Source organism: Homo sapiens, chromosome X (assembly GCF_000001405.40).
Source record: "Homo sapiens chromosome X, GRCh38.p14 Primary Assembly".
NCBI classification, from domain to species: domain Eukaryota; kingdom Metazoa; phylum Chordata; class Mammalia; order Primates; family Hominidae; genus Homo; species Homo sapiens.
The window spans coordinates 39,061,152-39,072,920 of NC_000023.11; the positions used below are offsets into that span (position 1 = coordinate 39,061,152).

The 11,769-nt window shown below is 47.5% G+C and overlaps 2 annotated features.

Annotated features, from left to right (window-relative positions):
- Positions 3,644-4,234: an enhancer, noted in NCBI's record as "OCT4-NANOG-H3K4me1 hESC enhancer chrX:38924048-38924638 (GRCh37/hg19 assembly coordinates)". NCBI's record gives its function as "activates a minimal SCP1, AML or CMV promoter by ChIP-STARR-seq in naive H9 embryonic stem cells {active_cell/tissue: H9 hESC(naive)}" and the evidence as "EXISTENCE:reporter gene assay evidence [ECO:0000049][PMID:30033119]".
- Positions 4,235-4,825: an enhancer, noted in NCBI's record as "OCT4-NANOG-H3K4me1 hESC enhancer chrX:38924639-38925229 (GRCh37/hg19 assembly coordinates)". NCBI's record gives its function as "activates a minimal SCP1, AML or CMV promoter by ChIP-STARR-seq in naive H9 embryonic stem cells {active_cell/tissue: H9 hESC(naive)}" and the evidence as "EXISTENCE:reporter gene assay evidence [ECO:0000049][PMID:30033119]".

The window sequence follows — 11,769 nt, forward strand, 5'->3', positions numbered from 1 at the left end:
GAATTTGTCTGTCTCTTTCCACTAATGTGGGTCCCATGGTGCCAAGGAACACCTGGGGAAGCATGAGGTCTCTGTTGTTTCTCATCAGAAAACTGCCTTTTCATAGAAAGCTTCAATTGTTCATTGCTTCAGGCTGAGTTGCCCTTTGTGCCCTGGCCAGGGTCTCTGTAACCAACTTGGTGGTCTTGAAATGCCTGCTTCTCTTGAGGGCTCTCTCCCTCCTCTACATTGTGGTCTGCTGCACGCCATTGTCACTGCTCTCATCCTGAGCATTTTCCATTTCTCAGCCCACCCAACTTCTTAGAAGCATTTGGCACTGACAGCCACCCTCCATGTTGAAATTTGTTTTCTCCTTGTTGTCTGTGACCTCCAATCCACTTCCTTGCTCACTCGACAGCTGCTAGCAGGCTCCTTCTTCTATGACTATTTCTTAGAGTGTGCTCCTCAGGATTCTGTCCTGTGCCCTCTTTATGCATCCTTGAATGGCCTCATCCATTACTGGGATTTCGACTATAATCTGCCCGTGTTCTAATGTGTCCCAACCACCACCTCAAGCCCAGGCCAGGCTTCTGAGTTTCAGACCCAACATCTACCTGGGAGTCCCATGTCCCTCTCAAATACAATATGTTAAAACGTGCTCATCCCCTGCAGCACCTGGAAATCTGCTCCCAGCCTTTGTCTCTGATATGATAACAGTGAACTGCTCCACCATCCCTCTAGTCCCTCAAGCCTGAGCCACGCACATTGTCCTCACCTCCTCCTGCTCCTCCTCCACTTCCCATATCCAGTCACTCACCAAGTCTAAGTCCATTTACAAAATGCTTCCTAGATCCATGCTCCTCTCTCCATCTGCATCCGCCCCGGTATAGACCCACAGCATCTCCATTCCCTTTGCATACTCTTAGCACCAGCCATGCCAAGGTTCTCTTTTGCCTCCAAGTCTGAAATCATTCATTGGGCGACTTCCTCTCTCTATAGCACCTTGATCTTCTCTGTCTCACCACCATTTCCCTTTGCTGGCTTACTCCTCATCCTTCAAGTTTTAGCTTAGATGGCACCTCCTCTGGAAGTCTTCCCTTATCTCCTCACTCCCAGCCCAAGACTGGAGTAGGTATCCTGCTTTGGGGTCTCACTGTACTGTTATTGCCTCCTTATTTGCCTGGATTCCACTCCAGCCATATCTGTTTGTTTCGTTCATCTTATTCACCATAATAGTCTGCACTTATCAGAGAGTCTGGCACATAGGGACACAGAATGAAGAAGCCAGAGAACTTATTTCCCAGCACACCTTTAGACTAGGTCAGGGACTGGTCTGAGGCTTAGAGTGAGGTGGGTTCATAGGCAGACCCTCAGTGTGGGGCCAGCAGCAGTTCTCTCTCTCGATGGGCTTCCTCTTTGTGCCCTGTCTGGCATCAATATAGGGAGGGCAGAAGACCCAGCAAGAATTCCAGGCATACCTGCAAGCTCCTTTCATCTGGGTAGATGTACCTTGCAAGCTAGTGGACTATAAATCAGTGCCCATTACTTAGCACATTGTAAATGAACATACATTGATGAAAAATGGTCCTATTTGGCTCAGTTATCTTGGGTGAAGCACGAAAATGGCACCTGTTTCCAAATCTTTATCTATGGAGACTAGAACCTCCTTGTATTCTCATAGCCAGCAGGTTACACACTCCTATTATGGCATTTGTCACACTGGTTTATAATTATTTCTTTATGTTTCTGTCACTTTGGGAGCTCTTCGAAGGCAGGAACAGATTTTACTCATCTCCTGGGCCTCAGCTGGTGGCATGGAGCCTGGCAATGACTAGGAGAACACAAGAGTTTGCTGAACAAATATCCCAGGTATATATTGTTTTGCTATTGGATATAAGCCAGGAGTGGTAGTGATGAATTACTGCCACAGCCCCTTTCTGATTCTAGGAGCCCTGGCCAGCATTATCTCAGTATTGTGTATAGGAAAGATGCCACAGGCTCCTTTGAAATGATGCTGGTGCCACTACATATGTAATAACAGGTCATGAGGCAATATTACGAGGTCAAAGTGTGATGCAAGGACCTCCTTGCAACACCCAGCAAGGAGGAAGTGATGTGAGAGGAGAACAGGATTGACGCCCCTGGACCAGGTCCAGAGCTTTAAGAGCTTGTGCTTCAGGGAGTGTATCTGGGTGATGCCGCCTCTGTGAATTTCACAAACCTGTGTGTCCAGTCAGGAAAGGAACTGAAAGCCTGGGCCACCCACCCTCTCCACAGTATTGGGGCAGATGTAAAACGGGACCCAAAGGATTGCCTTTTTGCTCTGCTAGAAGGTAACTGTATAAGCTATGTGAATTCAGGGAGGAAACTGCTCCAAAACATGCCCCCATCCACTGAGCCACATCCCTTTACCCAAGGATGTAGTCTTTCTTCTCTCTCTCTCACCCTAGAAGGAAATGAGGTGTCTTAGGTTGCACTTCCTGGAAAACCCAATTTGAGTCAGCAATTGATGTGCAGGAAGTTTATTGGGAATGCCCTGGGGAGCAACACCTATTAGGGAGGGAGAGGGCAGGGGAGCAAGAGGGAGAAGTTGAACTGCAATGCCAGTGTGCTTGTCACAGAGGCCACAGCTCATCCCTCAAGGGCCTCCAGAGCTGGGGTGGCCTTGCAGAATTGGCCCAAATTGAAGCAAAGGGGCTGGGCTTTTGTATTGCCCCCACCCATGAAAGAGGGGGTGACCTTGGGCAAAAAAAGTTCTTATCAGCTGAGAGCAGTTCCCAGAGGAGGACTTACCAGCCAACAGTCATGGTGACTGAAGGAGGAAGTGCCTGGGAAATAGCACCTGGACATCACAGCATCTGCCACAGGAGGCTGAAAATACAAATATACCTGAGAAAAGTAACAGATGGTTTTCAATGGATACCAAGAAGTAAATGACTGATCCAGAGCCCTTTTGGATAAGGATCATGGAAGTGGATTTGAGACTGAAATGAACAAGACCAAGATCAGGGAAGAGAAGAAGAGGATGTGCAATGTCAAGGAAGGAGAATCTGGATTCGGACTGCAGAGACCTGCCCTGGGGCTTCCTGCTGTGGAATTCTGCTAGCAGCACAGGAATGGAGTTTAGTTGTCCAGGACCTGGAACTGCACCTTACCTCTGAGAGACGTTGGGTAGAAGTTCTCTATTTCGGCTCTCCCACTTGGCAAATGAGGACTGGTGATGCCAATCTCATCTAGGGACTTCAGTCTTTAGGGGGAAAAAGATATAACACAACATCTATATTTGCAGCAAGGGACACACAGATAAAAACAAACTTTGTTAATACGAAATAAGATATAAATCATTATCAGAATCACAGAAGCTGGGATGGGCAAGTTCAATCCACTCATTTTATAGATGAAGAAACAGATTCAGGGAGCAGAAGTGACTTGCCCAAGGTCTCCCAGCAGCTCCTTAACCAAAAATAAGCCCAAAGTTCCTAACCCCTGGTTCAGGGCTCATTTATAACACCCAGCTTCTAGAAATCTTTATGGGGTTGCCTGTCTTTTTTTGTTGTTTTTTTTGAAACAAAGTCTTGCTCTGTTGCCCAGGCTGGAGTGCAGTGGCTCTATCTCGGCTCACTGCAACCTCCGCCTCCCGGGTTCAAGCGATTCTCGTGCCTCAGCCTCCCGAATAGCTAGGATTAGAGGCGCCCACCACCATGCCTGGCTGATTTCTGTATTTTTAGTAGAGAAGAGGTTTCACCATGTTGGCCAGGCTGGTCTTAAACTCCTGACCTCAAGTGATCCACTCGCCTCTGCCCCCCAAAGTGCTGGGATTACAGGTGTGAGCCACTGTGCCTGGCTGCCTGTCTTCTTAAAAGCAACTTCAAACTCAGGCAGATTCCAAATTTTCTAAGGCAAATTTGTCTTAAGTACCCCTCTCTGTCGGAAGCTCCTGTCCTTAGCAGAGTTCTGTCGCTGCCACTGCTCGCCAGCGCCAGTGAAAGGCCGGCCAGCCAGAGAGGCCTTGGAGACATTTGCATTTGGGTGAAAGGAGCTGATGGTCTTGGACTCACAGCTGAAGGTTTTCTGGGGTGGAAATTAAAGTGGCAGCAGGAAGCAGAATGCGACCTAATTAGCAGTTTGGTCTCTGAGGCTGACCTCCTTTCGGGAAAGCTGGCACTCATAGGAGCATAAAGCAGCTGTTGCCTCTTCCCTGCCTGGCCAGGTGGGCTCAGAGCAGTGCCAGCCCAGCCGTCACCCCATGGCAGATGCCCTCCTGGAAAGAAGTCTTGCCTCACCCCTCAGCTCTCCATCTATGGCTCCAAGCAGGGTTGTGAAAACGAGCAGTACGCCCAGCATGAAACTCCTTAAAAAGGAGGGAAGGAAGAGAGAAGACAAAAGCCTTTCATATCTCTGGCGGGGGCTGGCGGGGAGGCTTAATGACTTGAATGGGGCTCAGGAGGTGGAGGGAGGGGGAGCAGAGGGCTGCGCTGTGGGCAGTTGATGTGTTCACCAGCGTCTCGCACCTGTTGTTGTCTTCTGTGACCACACGTGCAGGCAACCCTGGGAGCTCCAGCTAAACAGGCGAGGAGTGTAATTAATCCATTGTTTAGCATTATTGGAGCTCACTGCTGTGCGGATTCTTCCTGGCAGTTCTCCCAGCCTGATGGTGGCGGTGGAGGCAGCAGCTCAGCGAGCAAGGAGGGGGTTTGGACGGATTGAGATGTCAGGTCTGGGGAAGGGCAACTACTTATTAAAGAAGGCTCATGCCTGAGGGTGAGGGGAGGACAATGCCCAGCTCTCCTCCCTGGTGGCTCACTTCCCACTGCTAGGAAATAATGTCTATCTGTTTGGCTCCTGTTGAGAAAGCCCATTTTCCTCCTTGTTCCTGGGAGGCTGGCTGAGCTGTGAGCACAGTATGGATGATGTTTGCCTAGAGGCCTGGGCCTGGTCTCTGTCTCAAACTGGGCTGCTTCCTACTACCTGGCCTCTTGTCTGGTGCGGTCGGTGGCTTTCACCTGACATAATGATCCAGCATCAGCCTACGTAGGAGTCTTAGCAGCCTCCCCAAGGGTAAGAGCCAACACTTTGACAGCTCTTACTAAGTGCCAGGCATTGTTCTAAGCACTGGGCATGTATTACTGCATTGAATTTTCACAACAATCCTACGAGATGGGTGCTATTCTTATCCCTACTTTACAGATGAGGTAAAGGAGGCACAGAAAGGCTAAGTAACTTACCCAAAGTAGCACAGCTAATAAGAGGTAGAGGTGTGATTCAGAGTCTTGCTGCAGACCTTATGTGTTCAACTGTTGCACTGTACAACCTCTTCAGCTCACACTCCTAGCACCAGTGGGACACAAAGAACATTTCCTGGTATTTCAATCCCCATACCTACCTGCCAGGGGACATTTCTATTTCTGCCCCATGAGTCCAGATCATCCAGTGGAGGAACTTTGCTGGCTCCTTTTTAATAAGCATTAGGCATACCTTTCATGATTTGGTCTGTTTGAGAAATCCTGGAGATAGGGAGTTACTTCAGCTCATTGATTCGCAAACTTAGGTGTCAGGAACAAACACTCTGGAGGTTATTAACGATACCAGTTCCTAGACCCCTTGGACTGCCCGTCCCCCTCCCTGCCCCCGCTAGATTTCTGGTTTTAGACCCACTGGTTGTGTTGCATCACTCTCTGTCTGTAGCAGATATGATAGGACTATTCATTCTTTGTTCCTCTTCACTCTGTTCTCGTACCTGCAGCCAGGAAGTCCAGAGCTGCCCTGAGCATCTTGATTGTGCAGCACTGGTCTGAGGCAACTTATAGGGCTCACTGGTTTTCAGAGGCATGGAGAGGAGAAAGGCAGGCTGAAGAACTGGCCGAGGGATCACGAAGCAACCTCAGTGATGTTGCTACTTAATTGGGTGGTTACTGGATTGCCAAGGCTGGGCCTTGTTGGCTCCTTACTTAAAAGCATGCAGAAACCCAATCTGAGACAACAAGAGTGGCTTTTTGCTTCTCTGGACTCATGTGGATAGTGGTCAGTGTTTTCCTTTCTCTCCCAATTCCTGGGAACACATTCATGGAACTTGGCACTATCAAATAATAAAACAAAGACCATCCAAGCTTATGTATATATAAAGGCGAGTCTATTAGCCTTCTAGGCATGGGAGCATAGACCTGTCAGTGGTTCTCCGAGGGGACGGCTCAGGAGTTTTTATTTTCTCTAAATGGAGAAGCACTTGATGTTTATGCTAATTAAGAATAAAAAACTAGCACTGGGGACAGGACGAGAGAGTATAAAGCTTCACACACAGTTGGTTAAAAGCAAGTCCAGTTTTAACTTAGGAAAGTGTCTTCAGTTAGGTTGAGTGAGGACTGGCATCTTGGGTTCTTTGACCACACAGCATTCGGTTATGATACCTCCTAGGCAAGTGGTGCTGTAAATAAAAAATTATCCTTTTACAACTTGCCAGGGCTGTAGCTGTGAGCAGGCCCAGAAAGACCCAGGTTGGTTCCTTGAGGTCATTTTGAGCCCCTTCTGGGTGGAAGTACAGCTGTTCCCAGTCTCCTAGAGCCCAGGCTGGTGATCCTTCCCTGCAAGGGTAGAGCAAAGCAAGCAAGGTATCTGGGGGCAGTATTTAAGGAGGTACACACTTTCATGTTTGTGCAAGTGCAGAGTTGACCCTTGAGAGTGAGCACCTCCTTAAATATTGAGTTAGTGTCAGCCTACAGCTGCTGTCTTCCAAGATGTAAGGGAAAATGTTTTCAGTGTTGGTCTTGCTATAAAACATTCTCTTTGGATGAACTATGATTGCCTTTGCTCCAGATACATAATATTTCCAGTTGCTCTTGTTTCGCCAAGACTAGAAATGAATAGCATGTGGACCAGGACGGGAGAGTAAGGAGGAACGCATCTGAGGATGCGTCAACTCTTGATCATGTTCTCTGTAATTTCAAGGATTTTACTCATGTGACCAGATCACAGTGGCACAGACAGTCTGTCCCATTACAGAGCTGTACTCAGTGTTCTCTCTCCATTCCCTCCGGCCAGAGATATTTTGTTTCAGGAGATACTTATTTGAAGTTTCAGGCCACAGGGAAATTATTCATATCAGATCTTATCCATGGAATTCTTTTTGCCTGGCTGTTATGAAACATCATCTGCAAAAAAGTACAGGAGAATGGCTCCCTAATTCTAGTTCCCTTAGTGGGGCTTCTCCTACAGTTTTCTAGAAAGTCATCGAATCCAATTCCAGGTATCCTGATTTGCAAATAAACATGGGCCTCTGGGAGCCTCCACATGCAACTAAATTATCCATGCCCCTGACTCTGGGTTGAATTGGGCCTCAATACTCCTGAGCAGATAAAACTCTGTTCTATTTTTTTTTCATTATTATAATTTAAGTTCTAGGGTACATGTGCACAACGTGCAGGTTTGTTACATAGGTATACATGTGCCATGTTGGTTTGCTGCTCCCATCAACTCGTCATTTACATTCGGTATTTCTCCTAACACTATCCCTCCCCCAGACCCCAACCCCCAACAGGCCCTGGTGTGTGATGTTCCCCTCCCTGTGTCCATGTGTTCTCATTGTTCAACTCCCACTTATGAGTGAGAACATGCAGTGTTTGGTTTTCTGCCCTTGTAATATTTTGCTAAGAATAATGGTTTCCAGCTTCATCCATGTCCCTGCAACGGACATGAACTCATCCTTTTTTATGGCTGCATACTATTCCATGTTCTATTTTTAATGGCCTCTCATTAAGGCAAGCTGTGGTCTATGGCAGTCCTGATTTCAGGAGCTACCCCCTCCCCCAGCCTCAAGACTATCTCATGATAGCATTGTTGTGTTGATAAAAAGAGTCAAACTCTGTGAAATATTTGAAGAGACTGATTCTAAGCCAAATATAAGTGACCAATGGCCAGTGACACAACTCTCAGGAGACTCTGCGAGCATGTGCCCAAGGTGATCAGGGTGCAGGTTGGTTTTATACATTTTAGGGAGACATGAGACATCAATAAATACATGTAATAGTGTGTCCAGAATTGGTGGGTTCTTGGTCTTGCTGACTTCAAGAATGAAGCTGCGGACCCTTGCGGTGAGTGTTACAGTTCTTAAAGATGGTGTGTCTGGAGTTTGCAGCTTCAGATGTGTCTGCAGTTTATTCCTTCTGGTGGGTTCGTGGTCTCCTGACTTCAGGAGTGAAGCTGCAGACCTTCACAGTGAGTGTTACAGCTCTTAAAGGCAGCACGTCTGGAGTTGTTCCTTCCCTCAGGTGGGTTCGCGGTCTTGCGGGCCTCAGGAGTGAAGCTGCAGGCCTTTGTGGTGAGTGTTACAGCTCATAAAGGTGGTGCAGACCCAAACAGTGAGCAGCAGCAAGATTTACCACAAAGAGCGAAAGAACAAAGCTTCCACAACATGGAAGAGAACAAGAGTGGGTTGTCGCAGCTGGCTGGGGGTGGCCTGCATTTATTCCCTTATCTGGCCCCACCCACATCCTACTGATTGGTCCATTTTACAGAGAGCTGATTGGTCCATTTTACAGAGAGCTGATTGGTCCATTTTACAGAGAGCTGACTGGTCCATTTTGACAGGGTGCTGATTGGTGCATTTACAAACCTTGAGCTAGACACAGAGTGCTGATTGGTGGCACATTTACAATCCTTTAGCTAGACACAAAAGTTCTCCAAGTCCCCTCTAGATTAGCTAGACACAGAGCACTGATTGGTGCATTTACAAACCTTGAGCTAGACACAGAGTGCTGATTGGTGCATTTACAAACCTTGAGCTAGACAGAGAGTGCTGATTGGTGTGTTTACAATCCTTTAGCCAGATAGAAAAGTTCTCCAAATCCCCACCGGACCCAGAAGTCCAGCCAACTTCACCTTTCAATGGCCCTTGCCACAGGACTTTGCAGCACCCAGCCCAGGCACTCTGGCAGCCCAGAGGGAGCTCGTTCCCCCATCAAGCCCATGAGGCGCCGGCCTGCCGCACCGAGTGCGGGGCCCGCCGAGCTGTGCCAACCCGGAACCCGCACCGGCGCTCCCGGGAGCGCCGCGTGCAGCCTGTGCTCCCGCCTGCGCCTCTCCCTCCACACCTCTCCATCCACACCTCCCTGCCAGCAGAGGGAGCCGGCTCTGGCCTCGGCCAGCCCCAGAAAGGGGCCCCCACAGCCCAGGGGCGGGCTGAAGGGCTCCTGGAGAGCAACCAGAGCGGACGCCAAGGCCGAGGGGGCGCCAAGAGCGAGGGAGGGCTGCTAGCACGTTGTCACCTCGCAATAGGTTGGTGCAAAAGTAATGGCGGTTTTCACCATTAAAAGTAATGGTGAATACTGCCATTACTTTTGCACCAACCTTATAAGACTTACATTGGTTTGGTCAAGAAAGGCAGGACAACTCGAAGCAGGGGGTGGAGGGGGCTTCCAGGTTGTAGGTAGATTCAAATATTTTCTGATTGGCAATTGTTTGAAAGAGTTATTATCAATAGAAAGGAATGTCTGGGTTACTATAAAAGTGACATGGTTTGGATCCGTGTCCTCATCCAAATCTCACATCAAATTGTAATCCCCAGTATTAGAGGTGGGGCCTAGTAGGAGGCCCTTTGGTGCTGTTCTCGTACTAAAGTTCTCACAAGAGCTGGTCACTTAAAAGTGTGTAGCACGCCCCCCCAACCTTCTTTTCCTCCTGCTCCAGCCATGTTAAGACATGCCTGCTTCCACTTCGCCTTCTGCCATGATTGTAAGTGTCCTGAGGCCTCCTCGGAAGCTGAGCAGATGCAGGTGCTGTGCTTCCTGCAGAGCCTACAGAACCCTAAGCCACCTAAACCTCATTCCTTTATAAATTACCCAATCTCACGTATTTCTTTATAGCAATGCGAGAACGAACTAATACAAAGAGGTTGTAGAGACCAAGGTTTTATCATGCAGATGAAGCCTCTAGGTAGCAGGTTTCAGAGAGAACAGATTGTAAATGTTTCTTATCAGACTTAAGGTCTGTGTGGATGTTAAATGCTGGTGGGCTTTTCCTGAATTCCAAAAGGGAGAAGGGCATAATGAGGTAATGAGGCATGTCTGACCCCAATCCCCTTTTGCGTCATGGCTTGAACCAGTCTTTGGGTTAACTCTGGAATGCCCTTGGCTGAGAAGAGAGGTCTATTCAGATGGTTGGGGGGCCTTAAGATTTTAGTTTACAGTTGTCTCTGGAAGAATCAGTCCTTTCTGTGTGATTTAAATTTTTCCAGCTAGTTTACCTCCTCTTGCAGCTATTTCAGCTGTTTCTTCTTGTTCTGTCCTTCAAAGACACAGGGAGGAGCCAGCCACCAACTGCTTAGTAATAATCCTTCATGTGCAGCTTGTAAGAGACACATAAGAAAATGCAGGGTTAATTTGAGAGCCACATTCCAATTTATTCATGCAGGGACCTCAGGAAGTTTTCTTGTTGCATCCACCTCCCTCCCACTCCCAACATCAAGTAAGCATAATGAAGTCAGTTCAGGATGGGCTTTAAGCCAAAATTCACTTGCTTTGGGATTCGTCACTAAGGCTCCTATATTAAATTCACCTTGGGGTCTATGGTAAATTTTATGAAATGTTACTTTCCTCTTTATGGCTAGTATAAACATTTATTATACATCCTGTGATATATGTTTCCAGGAAGTAAGGAAATGCTGTTGTGGAAAGATATGATTCCCAACTGATTTGAAATATAGACAAATAGCATGTTTTAGAAAGGGGCCAGGACTTTAATGGAAAAAAAAGTAGTTATCAGATTTTTTCTTTCTTGTCTTGCTCTGCCTTCTCTTCTGGCACCAGTTAAAGGAATATTTCTCATCCTTTCTCCCCATGCACACAAAAGATGATACCTGATATGAAATGCTGTCAAATCCTGCTTCATTAAAGCCCACAAAAGCTAATGCACAGCTCTCCTTGCACTGCCCTAAAATGGGAACAAAGAAGCAGAATAATGTCAAAATAGAACACAAAGGAAAAGAGTTTGTCCTCTGGGCCCGAGAGATGAAAGATATCAGGAGTCTTCTGTGAATGTTGGGCTGGGCCAATGTTTCTAGGGCTTGTTTCATAGATGATGGGGGATTGCCAGATAGGGCAACTCATGAAAACACAGCCAGAGTACAGTGAGGATCCTCCAACGAGGACCCAGCCAATGCTTCTGTCATTGACTCAGTCACAGGCAACAAGGAAGATTGCTTGCCTCAGCACAGGGACAGCTAAATAGTCAGGGAATATGGCTTTCCCATTCACTTCCTGTGCAGAAGAATACACCTTGCAGAGGAAAGAGGTCTGGGGACATGAGTTCAGTTGGAGGACCCTGGTTGGGGAACCCAGGAAACAGGCAGTTGTAAAAGATGTGCGGGATTCTTAATAGGAAGTAGCTTTAAGAAAACTCAAGTCATATAACAAGCTTTATCACTACTGGTAGCATGAACCACCATGAGGACCAAGCCCCTTGGCTTTGTGGTTAAACAGGGTTTATTAGTAAATCACAGATGGGGACAAATGTATTCTGCCAAATCGGAGTATGACCCCTGGAAATGTGAGAGGGCAAATTCAGAGCAACTTAGGTGGCATCACCGGGAAATGGCAGACTCAAGTTAAAATTAGGGCTCAAGTCAAAATCTAGCACTATGGGATTCAATGATGTGATGCAGTCAGTCAAAGCAGGGATAGAACATAGTCCAGTCCCTTCCCACCATCCCACGCTACCTCCTCATTTAATCTCCTGTCCTCCCCTTCATCTTCCTTCACTCTTCTGTCATCCACAGCTAAAGCCAGCTGCTGGATGCTATCA